At 44.6% G+C, this 16819-nt stretch overlaps 1 protein-coding gene across 4 annotated transcripts in view, besides 2 other annotated features; it reads left to right on the plus strand.

Annotated features, from left to right (window-relative positions):
- Positions 1950–2309: a silencer, noted in NCBI's record as "silent region_2921". NCBI's record gives its function as "represses an Ori minimal core promoter by ATAC-STARR-seq in GM12878 lymphoblastoid cells {active_cell/tissue: GM12878}" and the evidence as "EXISTENCE:reporter gene assay evidence [ECO:0000049][PMID:35858748]".
- The window catches only part of ZRANB1 (zinc finger RANBP2-type containing 1), a 71296-nt gene continuing 56457 nt past the window's right edge, over positions 1981–16819 (plus strand). For 2 of the 4 annotated variants that reach the window (XM_006717907.3, XM_047425383.1), the window contains exon 1: positions 1981–2359. The gene's annotated coding sequence lies outside the window, so the exon portion shown is untranslated. Of the gene's footprint in view, positions 2360–2599; positions 2854–12336; positions 12357–16819 lie in introns of those variants that run through there. The other 2 variants (XM_047425384.1, XM_047425385.1) reach the window with 2 other exon arrangements.
- Positions 2370–2639: a silencer, noted in NCBI's record as "silent region_2922". NCBI's record gives its function as "represses an Ori minimal core promoter by ATAC-STARR-seq in GM12878 lymphoblastoid cells {active_cell/tissue: GM12878}" and the evidence as "EXISTENCE:reporter gene assay evidence [ECO:0000049][PMID:35858748]".

The raw sequence follows: 16819 nt of genomic DNA on the forward strand, positions 1-16819 counted from the left end.
TCCTGACTTCAGGTGATCCACCCACCTCGGCCTTCCAAACTGCTGGGATTACAAGGGTGAGCCACCGTGCCTGGCCATAATTACGGTTATTTCTGTCTTACTCTTTTCTCTATGCTGTAGTTTCCTCACTAAGATGTGTCTTACCTTTGTAGGCTTCTTATTCATTGGTACGTGATATTCACTATTTACTCAACTGAGGAAGGAGATAATAAACTTTATCCCAGTGATATCCCATTTCCTTCCCAAAATAAACTACAACTCAAGCGAAACAAAAACACCTAATTCTGTGATTCCTGTTAGTTTGTAACTGAGAGGCTCTGCAGTCTGAATTCAGGAAGGGGAAGCTGGAGGAATTCAGGAGCTCTTAAAGAAAATATTTTCAAAGTTGAAATGTTGGCCTAACTATTGTTCTTAACATGGTAACATGGTGTTTGATCTGATCTACAATTGTGTTCATTATACGTTAATTATATATATAGCTCATATATATAAATATATATGAGAATGTATGTTAAGTTTTGCAGGCAAAAGACTTGCAATTTAAACTCAATTTATTGAATAAGTAATGTTGCTCTGGGCAGACAAGGATTGTCGAAAATCTCTACACTATAGGAATGGCTATGAGAATAAAATATGCCAGCGAAATATGTTGTTGGAGAGGGGAATCTATAAGATACAGCATCATTGTTTGCTGGCCATAGTGAAGCTAAACACACATTCTTGACCACATTTATGCAAAGAGAAAGCCAGAACACCATGAATAGTTTTACTAAATGAAGTCCCATTCAAATTTTAAAAATCTGATTAAACTCTGAATAATGGTCCTCCTGTTGAACCTGAGGTATCCAACTGCTAAACGCCCTTTGGCAGTAGTGATAGGTTTTCTCTAATAGATAACTTTTAAATTTACAGCTTTTAAAGAGTTGCTGTCTTTTATGATCTTTCAAATTCTTTCTTCTCCTCACAAAATTTTAAGCATGAAAACTACAAGGTAAAGTCCCACTGGGAAAAAACAAAGCTCTCTAGCTAGAAAAATTTCCCATACTCATGGGGTTTTAACAAATGGCTGGCTTATTCTGGCTATTTGGTTACTTTTATAGTACAAAAAGAAAGAAATACACATATTCTGTTTAGAACTTGGTTCCAGGTGATTCTCCTAAGCAGTATTTTTTTCCATAGCTGTAATTTATCCTGGGCCTGAAGATAGGTAAGGCTTATTTACAGAAATAAGTCTTATTAGGAAAGGCTTATTTCTAATTTACAGATAAGGCAGCCATAAGAAGGTCGGATTTTCCCAAGACTAGAGCCAGGGAGTCCTGGAGGAGAGCAAGAGGCAAGCTCTCCATGACTTTTCATCGCGTGTCCATCTACGTACGCACACATGTACCATGCAGAAAGCAAAGAGAAATATACACATACATCCATATACATGGATAGCCCCAGCAAAGGCAGGGGTAAAAATCGGACACTGCAAAACATAAATTTAAAAAATCAAACCATCACAAAGCACCTAGAGCTTTATCTTCCCTGGTGTTTTACGAAGAGCTTCAAAGTCCCTTAGAAAAAGTAAAGCAGCATCTAGGTTATAGGTAGATCACTTAGGATACGTGAGACCTGGGGGTTAACTTAAAACTCTGGCGCATCTGTCGCAGAGAAGAGGCAAAGCGCGCGTCCAGACACCGCCGAGGACGCCCTCCAGGCCGCCGTCAGCCGGCGCCCCCGAGCGCCACGCACCCCGCGGCAGTCCAGCACCCTCAAGACCGCAGTCGGCCGCGGAAAGGAACGGGAACTGGGCCGACGCGCGCCGCCGACTCACAATCAGGGCCGCGCGCCGGCTGACGTCACCCTGTGTCGACCAGCCCCCTGAGCCCGGAAAGAGGCGGTCGCTCATTGGCTGCGCCGGCGGCGGCCTCGGGGCCAATGACAGGGCGGCGAGCGGCGGGGTCTGGCCTTGACGTTGTGCCGCTCGCCGCGGGGTTTATTTGGCTCCGGGTCCCTCGGCCGCCGCCATTAGGGTCCGCAGCGCCCGCGGCCGCCTCCCACACCTCAGTGCCCCCGCCCCCCGGGGCTCCCCAGTCTCCGCGCCTCCTCTCTGCTCCTCTCCCCCGGCCTCCGGCAGCCGGGAGCCGCGCGCGGACCCTCGGAGACCATGTCCTGACTGAGGGGAGAGGGCGGAGGCGGCAGCAGCGGGGCGGGCGGCGGCGCGAAGGGAGGCGGAGAGGGGCCGGGCTCGACTCGTAGCCGCGGGCTGCGCGGGGAGTCGCCGCTGCCGCCGCCGCCGCCGCCGCCGCCGCCGCCGCCAAGCGCCCGTCGGACGGGGAGGAGGAGCAGGAGCTGGAGGAGGAGCCGCCGCCGCCAGGTAACCGGGCCCCGGGGGGCGCCCCACCGCGGCCTGCCGGGCCCCTCGCTCCCAGGCGGCGCCCAGGTTGCCGGGCCTCACGGGCTGTCCGCCCGCCCGGCGCCCCAGGGGCGACCGCGTCGCAGGCGCGGGGAGGGCAGGGGCCCGGGCCGCCGCTGTCGGCGCTTCCATCTTGGGCGCTCCGGTTGCGGGGACGGCCCGGGGGCTGTGGGAGGGCGGGTCCGCCCAGCTTGTTTACCGACCGCCGGCCGCCCGTGGCTGGACGCGGTGCCGGTCCCACCGCCGCTCTTCCGCCAGATTTCCCCACAACTTCTTTTCCTGCCGGAGACGGATCGGCGAGTGGGGTTTCGCTCCCACTCCGCAATAGGCCGTAAACACTTGGGTCCATCGCCACAAGTTGGTTCTGGTGTCTCCAAACTTGTATTTCAGTCCCTCGGCCGCTTGCTTTCCACCTCCTGCGGTGGCCTCCAGTTGCCATTTGTAGGAAAATAAAGGTGGGGGACGACGAGGCGGGTGGGGAGGAGGAGCTGGAGCTAGTGGAAAGATTCGTCTACCCCTCCTGCTCGCAGTAACGAGTGTTCAGTGCAAGGATCTGTTTTTTCTCTGCTATGGTTTGGTGCGGGTCATTTCACAGACAAAAGAACTGTAGTGAATGCTGGCATTAAGCGCAAGGGACAGGCAGTTTAGGTTAAGCCTGGAAGTTTGAACCGGCCCATTATCTTTGAGATACACTGGTGTTTTGAAACTCTCTTGCTGAGGATATTGTATTTCAGTCAGTTGATTACCCTTTTCTGTAACTCCGTAGACTATCGATTTAAGCGCCGCCCCATCTTACCAGTATTTTGGTTTCACCGTGTTTATGATGATGTTAATAAATCTAATGTGCAAAAATACCGTTTTAGGAACACAATTGGAGATAATTTTTTTTTGTATTTGAGACGGAGTTTCCCCCTTGTTACCCAGGCTGGAGTGCAGTGGCGCTATCTCGGCTCACCGCAACCTCCGCCTCCCAGGTTCAAGCGATTCTCCTGCTTCTGCCTCCCGAGTAGTTGGGACTACAGGCATGCGCCACCACGCCCGGCTAATTTTGTATTTTTAGTAGAGATGGGGTTTCTCCATGTTGGTCAGGCTGGTCTCGCACCTCTGACCTCAGGTGATCTGCCCGCCTCGGCCTTCCAAAGTCCTGGATTATAGGCATGTGCCACCGCGCTTGGCCTGAGAGAAATCTTTAACTCTGGGACCTATTATATAATGAGTTATTTCTTTACCTGTGTGTTTTAGTTAACTTCTTTTATCACTTGTGCAGCATCCAGCAGTACCCCTGTTTTGGTCAAACATGGATGACTCAGTGTACAAACCATAAGCCAGGGGAAACCATAAGGAATTTTGATCTTGGCTTGTGCCAAGGCTCTTGGGAAAGTCATCTGAACTATGGGAGAAATAAAGCTGGATCTTGTCTCCTTGTTATTATTTTGAATTAAATGAGGGAATTCTAAAAAAATTTAGAATCCTATTGACTTTTGGCTCTAAAGATAGGCAGTCTCTTTATACTAAAATTTCATAACATTGTTTTTATTGGGCTGTTGGGGGTTTACGAGATAGTAGGACAGTAATGACATTTTGCTCTTTTGAGGAGGATGTTATCTGAGTGTCATGAGGGATTTTATTTCTGTTGCTGTTTCGATACCTTTTATTAATGCCTCAGAGCATTGGGACACCCATTTATTTACTCTTGAAATGTGCTTGGGTGTGATGAACTCATTCATGGTAATATATTTTAAGCTCATGGCCTTGATCCATGTCTGTACACTGATAGGGGTTATGGATGTCACATTTAAAGTCTGAGGATTAACATAGTTTTGGAACTCATGATCTAGTTGTACAATATATGAGGCAAATTGCTTCATATGTGTAATTGATACAGTGAGAGCTTGTCCATGTGCTTTATAATAAATGTAAACTTTAAATGTGAATTACAAAAGTAGTCCACTGGCCGGGCCCGTGGCTCATGCCTATAATCCCAGCACTTTGGGAGGTTGAGGCGGGCGGATCGCCTGAGGTCAGTAGTTCGAGACCAGCCTGGCCAACATGGTGAAACCCCGTCTCTACTAAAAATACAAGAAAATTTGCCGGGTATGGTGGCGTGTGCCTGTAATCCCAGCTACTCGGGAGGCTGAGGCAAGAGAATCTCTTGAACGCCGGAGGCGGAGGTTGCTGCGAGCCGAGATCCAGCCACTGCACTCCAGCCTGGGCAACGGAGCAGGACTCCATTTCAAAACAAAACAAAAGTAGACCACTATTAATTTGGTTCAGGTTTTTTTTTTTTTCCTCCTCCTCCTCCTTTTTTTTTTTTTTTTGAGATGTAGTCTCTCTCTGTCACCCAGGCTGAATTGCAGTGGCGCGATTTCCGCTCACTGCAACCTCCGCCTTCCGTGTTCACGCCATTCTCCTGCCTCATCCTCCCGAGTAGCTGGGACTACAGGCACCTGCCACCACGCCCGGCTAATTTTTTGTATTTTTAGTGGAGACGGAGTTTCACCGTGTTAGCCAGGATGGTCTCGATCTCCTGACCTTGTGATCCACCCGCCTCGGCCTCCCAGACTGCTGGGATTACAGGCGTGAGCCACCGCGCCCGGCCCCCCCCCCCCCTTTTTTTTTTTTTGAGACCTTGTCTCATCACTGTGTTGCCCAGGCTGGAGTGCCGTGGCATGATCTCGGTTCACTACAACCTCCGCCTCCCGGGTTCAAGCGATTCTTCTGCCTCAGTCTCTCGAGTAGCTGCTGGGATTACAGGCGCGTGCCACCACGCCTGGCTAATTTTTGTATTTTTAGTAGAGACAGGGTTTCACCATGTTGGCTAGGCTGGTCTCGAACTCCTGACCTCAGATGATCATCTGCCTGCCTCGGCCTCCCAGAGGCTGGGATTACAGGCGTGAGCCACCGCACTCGGCCGGATTTGGTTCAGTTTTATTATATGGGCATTGCTGCTTGCCTCTTCCTTTCCAATAATAATCTCTTGTGTCTGGGCTTTGAATACTTATCCTCTCATTGATTTGGTATTCGATTTGGAATATTTGTGCTCCACTTATGCCTTATGCCTTGCACATTTGAACACTCTTACCTCCTCACATCACAACATAAAGACTTAGAGAAAACTCCTTTATACAGGCAAAATAAAGTTCAAGCTTCTTGGTGTGGTGTTCAAGTTTCTCTGTAGTCTGGAACTGATCCATTCTTCAGTCCTAACTCTAATTTATTTGTGAATCCCTAACTCTAGCCACACTAACTTGCTTGTTGTTCCTATGAAGTCCCTCCTCTTGGCCTTGCTTTATGCCATTCTTTCTGTTTGAAATCCTCTTCTGCTTGTATTCATGGAGACAATGTTCTGGGCCAAGAGAGGTCCTGTCTCTAGAGAAGCCTTTTTTGACTACTTTAACCCAAGGGATCTATTCAGTCTTCTCTTGCGTGAGACTTTCTTTTCTTAGAATATGCTAGCCTTGATTTCAGTTATCTTTTTATGTTTCTATTTTGCTTCCCAACTAGTTTTTTAAGACTTCTGCCAAATGGGTATATCTCTATACCCTGTATCTATCTATGGAGACCATATATTCAGCACTGAAAATATGAATACATGGTCTGACAAAGTATTTTTGGTTATAGAGGTATTCTAGGATATGCAGTTTGTACTGTAGTAAGTATTGGTGTTTCTGGGACTTTATGGTTTATGAGACAAATACTTGAAACTATGGCTGTCTCTTTAAAAATTTGGTTGGTATGTTTATATGTATTATCAGCATACTTCTTTGCCCTGTAGAGGATGTTCAGCATTTTGATAGTGTTTGTGTCATATTATTAAAATAAAAATTAAATATTATGTTTCTCTGGTTTACTTCAGATTTGTGTCTGGGGCAGTTACTTGGGTCTTGGATGCTAAGTTTGGTCATTCCATATTGTATGGAGGTAACATTTAGCATCATGGGAAGGAGAAAATAATCTGTAGCCTCAGTTTGTATTCTTAACCTCAGATGTTGGCAGCCTGTGTCACTGATGATAAGGCAGATGAGACAGGAGAATATGTGATTCACTACTGCTACCTGTCAACCGTCTTGAATGAAAAATAAGCTGGTCCACAGAATTTTTGTATACCAAGGATAACACATGTAATTATGTAGTACATAGGTGAATGCTGATGCATTTGGAAAATAGGTGTGTGTGTTTCTCTTGTATTGGATGAGTAGGAGGTATGGTATTTTATGGGTACACAGTCTCTTGGCACTAAACCATCTTGACTTACCTACTACATCTATGTGGAAACCTGTCCTCTTTCTCCAGTTCAATAAAATATTTTTCCCCTTGAAATTCATTTTTAGAAAGTATATAAAAAGTATTTTTTTTCAAGTGTCAGAAACCTTTTAGCATCATTGAAGTTAAAATGACTGTCCATAAACTTTTCAGAAATAGTAGGCATTTTAGGCTACTAGATTTGTAAAAGGTATTTTCATAGAATTATACCAGTGATTTCACCACCTGAAAAATCTGGATCCGTAAGCATTCTTTGCTTTTTGGAAGGGTGGTATTTTGGTTAATTCCATGAAGTTTTTGACAGGAGCCATAAGTTTGAATTTTAAAATGGGGGTTGGCCAGGTAAATTGAATATAAAATTAATATTTTTTCTGCTGCCTAGTGAATTAAATTAAAAAAAATTTTTTTTGACACAGGGTCTTGCTGTGTCTCCCAGGCCAGAGTGCAGTGCTGATCATGACTCAACAAACTGTCCTCCCACTTTAGCCTCCCAAGTAGCTGGAACTATAGGTGTGTACCATTGTGCCTGGCTTTTTAAAAAAATTTTTTGTAGAGACAAGATCTCTCTATATTGCCCCCAGGCTGGTCTTGAATTCCTGGGCTCAACCAATCCTCTTGCCTTGGCCTCCCAAAGTGCTGGGATTATTGGCATGAACCCCTGAGCCCAAATTATATATATATGTAAAATATATATATATATATGTAAAATATATATATATATGTAAAATATATATATATATGTAAAATATATGTATATATATATTTTTTTTTTAATAGGGTCTCACTGTGTTGCCCAGGCTGGAGTGTATGGCATGATCACAACTCACTGCAGCCTTGACTTCCCAGGCTCAAGCTATCCTCTCACTTCAGCCTCCCCAGTAGCTGAGACTACAGATGCGTGCCACCACACCTGGCTAATTTTTTTTTTTTTTTTTTAAGATGGAGTCTCTCCCTGTTACCCAGGCTGGAGTACAATGGCACGATCTCAGCTCACTGCAACCTCCACCACCCGGCTTGAAGTGATTCTCCTGCCTCAGCCTTCTGAGTAGCTGGGATTACAGGCACGTGCCACCATGCCCAGCTCATTTTTTTGTATCTTTTAGTAGAGATGGGGTGTCACCGTGTTGGCCCGGCTGGTCTCGAACTGACCTCGTGATCTGCCCGCCTCTGCCTCCCAAAGTGCTGGGATTACAGGCGTGAGCCACTGTGCCCAGCCTTGCCTGGCTAATTTTTGTATTCAGCCGTGGTAAGCCACTGCGCCTGGCCCTAAATTTTTTAGTAATGAAAAAAATAAACTACTACCCAGGCGTGGTGTCATGTGGCTGTAGTCCCAGCTACATGGGAGGCTCAGGTGGGAGGATCGCTTGATCCCAGGAATTCGAGTCCAGTCTGGGTGTATTAGTTTGTTTTCACATTGCTATAAAGAACTATCAGCCGGGCGCAGTGGCTCACTCCTGTGATCCCAGCACATTAGGAGGCCTAGGCGGGTAGATCACAAGGTCAGGAGTTCAAGACCATCCTGGCCAACATGGTGAAACCTCGTCTCTACTAAAAACACAAAAATTGGCTGGGCATGGTGGTGCACACCTGTAGTCTCAGTTACTCGGGAGGCTGAGGCAGGAGAATTGCTTGAACCCAGGAGGCAGAGGTTGCAGAGAGCCGAGCTACACTCCAGCCTGGGCGACAGAGCAAGACTCTGTCTCAAAAACAAACAAACAAAAAAAACAAACTAGCTGATGCCAGGTGCTGTGGCTCATACCTGTAATCCCAGCACTTTGGGAGGCCAAGGCAGGTGGATCACGAGATCAGGAGTTCGAGACCAACCTGACCAACATGGTGAAACCGTGTCTCTACTAAAAATTCAAAAAAATTAGCTGGGCGTGGTGGTGCGCACCTGTAATCCCAGCACTTTGGGAGGCCAAGGCAGGAGAATCTTGAACCCAGGAGGTGGAGGTTGCAGTGAGCCGAGATTGTGCCACTGCGCTTCAGCCTGCCTCGGAAGAAAAGAAAAAGAACTACCTGAGATTGGTAATTTATAAAGAAAAGGGGTTTAACTGACTAACAGTTTCTCATGACTGGGGAGGCTTCATGAAACTTATGGTAGAAGGTGAAGAGAAAAAAAGCACCTTCACAAGGCAGGAGAGAGAGAGTGAGCAGGGGAAGTGCCACGCTTTTAAACTATCAGATCTCCTGAGAACTCACTCAGTATCTCAAGAACAGCATAGGGGAAACCGCCCCCATGATCCGGTCACTTCCCACCGGGTCCCTCCCTTGACACATGGGGATTACAGTTGGCAATGAGATTTGGGTGGGGACACAGAGCCAAACCATATAACTGGGCAAAGTAGCAAGACCCTATCTCTTACCAAAAAAAAAGAATTTTTGTTATTTTTATTGTTCATATATTGAGGGCAAACTGTCCCTCTCACTCCTGAACTCACACACCGCAGTTTTGGTTTTTCATCCTTTGTCAAGTCAATTTTTAATGTGGGTGGTCTCTTTCTTTTTTTTTTGAGATGGGGTCTTGGTACGTTACTCAGGCTGGTGTCAAACTCCTGAGTTCAAGTGATCTGCCCGCCTTGGCCTCCCAAAGTGCTGGGACTGCAGGCTTGATGAGCCTCCGCACCTGGCCATAATGTGGGTGGTTTTAATTCATATAAATAAAAAATATTTGAATGCGTGATATTAATTGGAATCAGTTGCAAATCTTTCCAGTTTTTTCTAAAAAAAAAAAAAAGCAGCTTCATTGAGGTGTATTTCATATACCATAAAATTCACCCCTTTAAAGTATACAATTCAGTAGTTTTTAGTATACTTAACAGAGTTGTACAGCCATTACCAACCACTATATAATCCTGGAACATTTTCATGACCCCAAAAAGAAACTCTGTACTCATTAAGGAGTCATTTCCGCCTTGCCTCAGCTCCTGGCAACCACTAATCTACTTTGTCTCTCTAGATTTGCCTATTCTGGATATGTCGTAAATGGAATTGTACAATATATGACCGTTTATGTGGCTTTTTTCTCTTATAATACTTCCAAGGTTTATGTTGTGGCATGTGTCAGTACTTCATTCCTTTTTGTGGCTGGCTGATACTCCATTGTATAAACAGCATTTTGTTTATCCATTCATTGATTGATGGGCATTTGGATTTTTTCCACTTTTTGGCTATTATACTGCTGTGAACATTTGTGTACAAGTTTTTGTTCAGATGTAAGTTTTTACTTCTCTTGGGTATATACCTACAGATGGAATTGCTGGGTCATGTGCTAATTATGTTTAACCTTTGAGGAACTTTCTGCCTGTTTTCCAAAGTGGTTGCATCATTTTGCTGTTTTTTTTTTTTTTGAGACAGCGTCTCAGTTTGTCTGCCCAGGCTGGAGTGCAGTGGCGTGATCTCGGCTCACTGCAACCTCCGCCTCCCGGGTTCAGGCGATTCTCATGTCTCAGCTTCCTGAGTAGCTGGGACTACAGGCACGCACCACCATGCCTGGCTAATTTTTGTATTTTTTTAGTAGAGATGAGGTTTCATTATGTTGACCAGGCTGGTCTCGAACTCCTGACCTCAAGTGATCCACCCGCCTCGGCCTCCCAAAATGCTGGGATTACAGGCGTGAGCCACTGCTCCCTGCCCATTTTACATTTCTGCCAGCAATATATGTTCCGTTTCTCTACATCCTAATCAACACTTGTTATTGTCTGTTTTTTTTTTAAATTGTCATTCTAGTGGAATGGCATCTCCTAGTTTTTATTTGCATTTCCCTAATGACTAATGATGAGCATCTTTTCATGTGCTTCTTGGCCATTTGCATATCTTGTTTAGAGTGGTGTTTATTTCAGTGTTTTGCCCATTTTTCATTTGGGTTATTTGTCTTTTTGTTGGTGATTTTTTGCAAGAGTTCTTTATGTATTCTGGATACAATTCCCTTCCTGTATTTGCAAATACTTTCTTCTGTCTGTGGGTTGTGTTTTCACCTTCTTTATGGTGTTCTTTGAAGCACAAAAGTTTTTAATTTGATTAAGTTACCTATGTTTTCTTTTGTCACTTGTGCTTTTGCCTAACCCAGGGTCATGACAATTTATGTTTTCTTCTAAGAGTTTCTTAGTTTTAGCTCTCAAATTTAGGTCTCTGATCATTTTGAGTTGAGCTTTGTGTATAATTTGAGGCAGAGGTCCAACTGAGTTTTTTTGCATGTGGCTGTCTGGTTATCCCTGCATCATTTGTTGAAACACACTTAGTTTTAGCAGTGCACAGTCACGCGTTGCTTAAATGTTCTGAGCAATGCATTTTTAGGTGATTTTGTCGTTGTGCGAACATCATAGAGTCTACTTAGACAAAACCTAGATAGTATAGCCTACTGCACAGTAGGCCATGGGTTATAGCCTGTTGTTCCTAGGCCATAAACGCTGTATAGCATGTTACTGTATTGAATACTGTGGTGTTTTTCTAACACAAAGATAAGTATTCATGAGTGTAAACATAAACATAGAAAAAGCACAGTAGAAATATGGTGTAAAAGATAAAAAATGGTACACCTGTATAGGGGAATGGAGCTTGCAAAACTGGAAGTTGCTCTGGGTAAGTCAGTGAGTGAGTGATGAATGAATGTCAAGGACATTACTATACACCACTGTAGACTTCATAGACAGTGAACACTTTGGCTACACTAAGTTTATTTAAAAAATTTTCTTCAAAAATAAATTAATCTTAGCTTATTGTAACTTTTTAACTTTATAAATTTTTAATTTTTAAAAAAACTTTAGACTTTTGTAGTAACACTTAAAACACAAACACATTGTGTAGCTGCACAAAAATATTTTGGTTCTTTAGATCCTTACCTTATAAGCTTTTTTTGCCAAAAACTAGGACACACGTTAGCTTAGGCCTACACAGGGCCAGGATCATCAGTATCACTGTCTTCCACCTGTACATCTTGTCCCACTGGAAGGTCTTCGGGGGCAATAACATGCGTAGAGCTATCATCTGTGATAACAATGCCTTCTAGAATACCTCCTGAAGGACCTGCCTAGGGCTTCTTTACAGTAGACTTTTTTTTTTAAAGGAAGTAGGAGTAACATTGTAAAATGACAATAAAAAGTATAGTAAACAAACTGGTAACATACTTATTATCATGATCAGATATTACGTACTGTATATAATTTTACATGCTACACATAGCTAGACTGCCAGCGCAGTAGGTTTGTTTACACCAGCATCACTACAAACGTGAGTAATGAATGTATTGTGCCATGACATTATGGTGGCTTTGACGTCACAAGGCAAATTTTTCAGCTTTGTTATATAATCTTATGGGGACTACTGTCACATATACAGTCTGTCTTCGATTGACACATGGTTATGCAGGCTATCACTGTAATTCTCTTTTTTTCTTTTTTTGAGATGGAGTCTCGCTGTCGCCCAGGCTGGAGTGCAGTGGCGCGATCTCGGCTCACTGCAGGCTCCGCCCCCTGGGGTTCACGCCATCCTCTTGCCTCAGCCTCCTGAGTAGCTGGGACTACAGGCGCCCGCCACCTCGCCCGGCTAATTTTTTGTATTTTTAGTGGAGATGGGGTTTCACCGTGTTAGCCAGAATGGTCTCGATCTCCTGATCTCGTGATCCGCCCGCCTCGGCCTCCCAAAGTGCTGGGATTACAGGCGTGAGCCACCGCGCCCGGCCCTGTAATTCTCAACTGTAAGTTGATTTATTGCAAGGCAGGATTCCCTGGATATATGAAGAAATTATCCCTATTCTGCAGCAGAAGGAAAGGATCTCTCTTAGTGTTGCACAGTAAAAGTTGAAACAATACACTTGTGAGTGGAATTCTGAAGACATCACTTCTGTGATTTTTAAACCACTTCTAAATCCTTTCCTCTTTTGTTTGTGGTGGGTAATTAACTTCACTTTTTGGTATTTAATGGAGCTAAAGTTTATTTTTAAACGGGAACTAGTTCAGTTTTCCGAACTAACTAAACTTTTTGTGGAATACTATCTTTTGATACCAGCAGAATATTAAGTTTCTTTTTATTAACTAAATGATTAATAAGCAATGTTTACATGGAGATACTGTTTAGGGACATAATGAGTTTTTCACAGTTCAGTGTTAGAAACAAATCATAATTCAGTAAACTAAGAACTATTTTAGAAGTTTGTTTTGAAGTGGTAAAGAAGGGATTAAAGGCCTGGCGCGGTGGGTCATTCCTGTAATCCCAGCACTTTGGGAGGCTGAGGCGGGCAGATCACTTGAGGCCAGGAGTTGGAGACCAGCCTGGCCAACATGGCGAAACCCCATCTCTACCAAAAACACAAAAATTAGCTGGGCGTGGTGGCACATGCCCATAATCCCAGCTTCTTGGGAGGCTGAGGCATAAGAATTGCTTGAACCTGGGAGATGGAGGTTGCAGTGAGCTGAGATCGCATCACTGCACTACAGCCTGGGTGATAGAGCAAGACTGTCTGAAAAAAAGAAAAAATAAATAAAAGAACTAAGTTTATTCAGTAACATGAGATTGGGGTTGGTCAGGATGGGCTTTACCGAGGTGGGAACATTTAAGCTGGTCCTTGAAGGAGCAGTACCAGATTTCTAGGTATATAAAACGGGGTAAGAAGGGGAATAGGAGTAGGCAAGCATCCTGTTACGAGTGAAGGCATGGAGACATGAAAATTACATGTCATCTTTAGGGACTAGCAGAGGCTACGGTGTCGCCGAAGCATGCGGATGAGGTTGGAAAGGCACTCTTAGCACTTGATCCTCACCTTCCCCTGGGGCTGGGAATTAGAAGGGAGGAGTGATCTCCTTAAGTGTGGATCATCTTTACAGATGTGAAGAGCCATTACCCACCCCTCCCCAACTGTGCAACTGTGAGTGTGTATTGGGAAGATATGTCAGGGATATTTGTGGTATATATTAGAAGTGTTGAAGGCATTGTTTTTATAGAAATTATTTTAGTAAATTCTTTTTTATTATTGGGCACCTCCTATGTGATTTGAAGTTGCTTAGGATTTTCTAAAAGATTACATAAAATACTGTTGAAAAGATGATTGCATACAAAACATAATCTGTTCATTGTTAAACGTATACGAAATGTTGGGATACATCTGTGAACAAGACAAAGTCTTTGCTAATTGTGTTCTATTTACGCTCTAGTGTGGAGAGACAAATGAAGAAAGAAATGTCAGATAGTGATAAGTGCTGTGCAGAAAATTAAAGTAGGGTGATGTGATGGAGAATGCCTGAGTGGTCAGAGAAAATCTTTCTGAAGAGGTGACATTTAAACTGATATCTCAATGACAAGAATGATGTGGAAAATCTGGGGAAATAACATTCTAGGCAGAGGAGATTTCTAATACAAAGCACCTAAAGGGAGAATCATCTTGACTTGTAAAAGGAACAGAAAGTCACTTTATGTAAAAATTTGTAAGTAAGGCTGGGGAGTTTTAATTTTATTCTGTGTAAGGATGGTGGATAGAGTGGAAGTGCTAGATCACTTAGTCTCTGCAGTAATCCAAGTGACAAATAATGGTGGCTTGGAATAGGGGTATAGCAGGGGAGTCTGGAATGAAGCAAACTTTTGGGGACTTGTTTAGGAGGTAGTATCAGTGGTAGCTAGCTAATCTGTTTTGTAGCCTGATAATCTTGGACAATGTGTTTATAATCATGGAAGGTTGTGGTGCATTAGCAAGAGGGTACTGGAGTCAGAACTGGGGTTCACTTCCTAGCCTTGTGACCCTGGACGAGATGTTTCACCTCTCCTGAAGGCACAGATTCTTTTTTTTTTTTTTGTAACGGAGTCTCTGTTGCCCAGGCTGGAGTGCAGTGGCGAGATCTCGGCTCACTGCAACGTCCGTCTACAGTATTCAAGCAATTCTCCTGCCTCAGCCTCCTGAGTAGCTGGGATTACAGGTGCGCACCACCACACCTGGCTAATTTTTTTTTGTCTTTTTAGTAGAGACGGGGTTTCACCATGTTGGTCAGGTTGGTCTCGATCTCCTGACCTCGTGATCTGCCCACCTCTGCCTCCCAAAGTGCTGGGATTACAAGTGTGAGCCACCGCGCCTGGCCAACACAGATTCTTATTCATAAAAATGGAGGCTGGGCGCCGTGGCTCATGCCTGTAATCCCAGCACTGTGGGAGGCCGAGGCGGGTGGATCATGAGGTCAGGAGTTCGAGACCAGCCTGGCCAACATAGTGAAACCCTGTCTCTATCAAAAATACAAAAAGTAGCTGGGTTTGGTGGCACACGCCTGTAGTCCCAGCTACTTAGGAGGCTGAGGCAGGAGAATCACTTGAACCTGGGAGGCAGAGGTTGCAGTGAGGTGAGATCTGCCATCGCACTCCAGCCTGGGCAACAGAGCGAGACTCTGTCTCAAAAAAAAAAAAAAAAAAAAGATATGGGGTACTTTAAGAGGGAAGGTACCTGAGGATTCAATGAAGTTACTGTTCTTTACCTAAAGCTCCGTACAAAACTTAAGTTGATGTTACATCAAGCTGGCGAGTGTTCGTGATGTTAATGGGTTTTGAAGTGATCAGTTTTAGCCCTCCACTTAAAGATAGGTAAGCCATTATGGTCCCCATTTTTTCAGATGTGAGGCTTGGGTTCTAAGGCTTTGGCTAGTATTTCAGATGTAAGAGAGGGAGAGGGACTCAAACTCACATTTTGAAAGTGCAGTACATTTCCTTCCTTCCTTTCCTTCTGTCTTTCTTTCTTTCATGGATTCTCACTCTGTCGCCCAGGCTGGAGTGCAGTGGTGCAACCTTGGCTCACTGCAGCCTCCTCCTCCTGGGTTCAAGCAATTCTCCTGCCTCAGCCTCCTGAGTAGCTGGGATTATAGGTACCCACCACCATATCCAGCTAATTTTTGTATTTTTAGTAGAGACAGGGTTTCACCATGTTGGCCAGGCTGGTCTCAAACTCCTGACCTTAGGTGATCCGCCTGCCTTGGCCTCCCAAAGTGCTGGGATTACAGGCATGAGCCACGGTACCTGACCTGGTACATTTTCATATATGTGAGAGAACTAGGTATAAATATCAAGAGATGAAAGTGGTTTTTCCATAGTAAAGTACATTTCTATGCTTTAGTGAAAGATAATAAATTATTAAAGGGAAATATTATAGGATATTCTTGACGTATATATTTGGAAGAGTAGCTGAGAAGATACTTAAAAGATTAATCATGGCTATGTGCAGTGGCTCATGCCTGTAAACCCAGCACTTTGGAAGGCTGAGTCGAGAAGATTGAGGCCTGGAGTTCGAGATTAGCCTGGACAATGTATGAGACCTTGTCTCTAATAAAAATTTAAAAAATAGCTCGGTGTAATGGTGTGCGCCTGTAGGCCCAGCTACTCTGGAGGCTGAGGTGGGAGGATCACTTGAGTCTGGGAGGTCGAGGTTGCAGTGAGCCATGATCATGCTGCTCTAGCTTAGGCCACAGAGTAAGACCCTCTCTGTTAAAAACCAAAAATCAGTTAGTCATGAAGGGCTTTTTATGCCCTCTTAAGGATATAAATGTATTTTTTGGAGACAAGATTTTGCTTTTTCTCTTGGCTGTAGTGCAGTGGTGTGATCATAGCTCACTGCAGCATTGACCTTCCGGGCTCAAGTGATCCTCTCACCTCAGCCTAGCTGGGACTACAGGCGTGTGCCACCATACCGGGCTAACTTTATAACGATTTTTTGTAGAGATGGAGTCTCACTATGTTGCCCAGGCTGATCTTGAACTCCTAGGCCTCCCAAGGTGCTAGGATTACAGCAGTGGTTCCTACTGCTCCAGCCCTGTGTCATTTTAAATACTCTCCGTTATTATTATTTTTTGAGACAGAGTCTTGCTCTGTTGCCCAGGCTGGAGTGCAGTAGTGTGGTCTCGGCTCACTGCAGCCTTTGCCTCCTAGGTTCAAGTGATTCTCCTGCCTCAGCCTCCCCAGTAGCTGGGATTACAGGTGCCCACCACGACTCCCGGCTAATTTTTGTATTTTTGGTAGAGACAAGGTTTCACCATGTTGACCAGGCTGGTCTTGAGCTCCTGATCTCTGGTGATCTGCCCACCTCAGCCTCCCAAAATGCTGGGATTACAGGCGTGAGCCACTGCGCCTGGCCTAAAAATACTTTATTTTTTAGAGCAGTGTTAAGTTCACAACAAAATTGAGCAGAAAATACAG

This window comes from Homo sapiens, chromosome 10 (genome assembly GCF_000001405.40).
Source record: "Homo sapiens chromosome 10, GRCh38.p14 Primary Assembly".
NCBI classification, from domain to species: domain Eukaryota; kingdom Metazoa; phylum Chordata; class Mammalia; order Primates; family Hominidae; genus Homo; species Homo sapiens.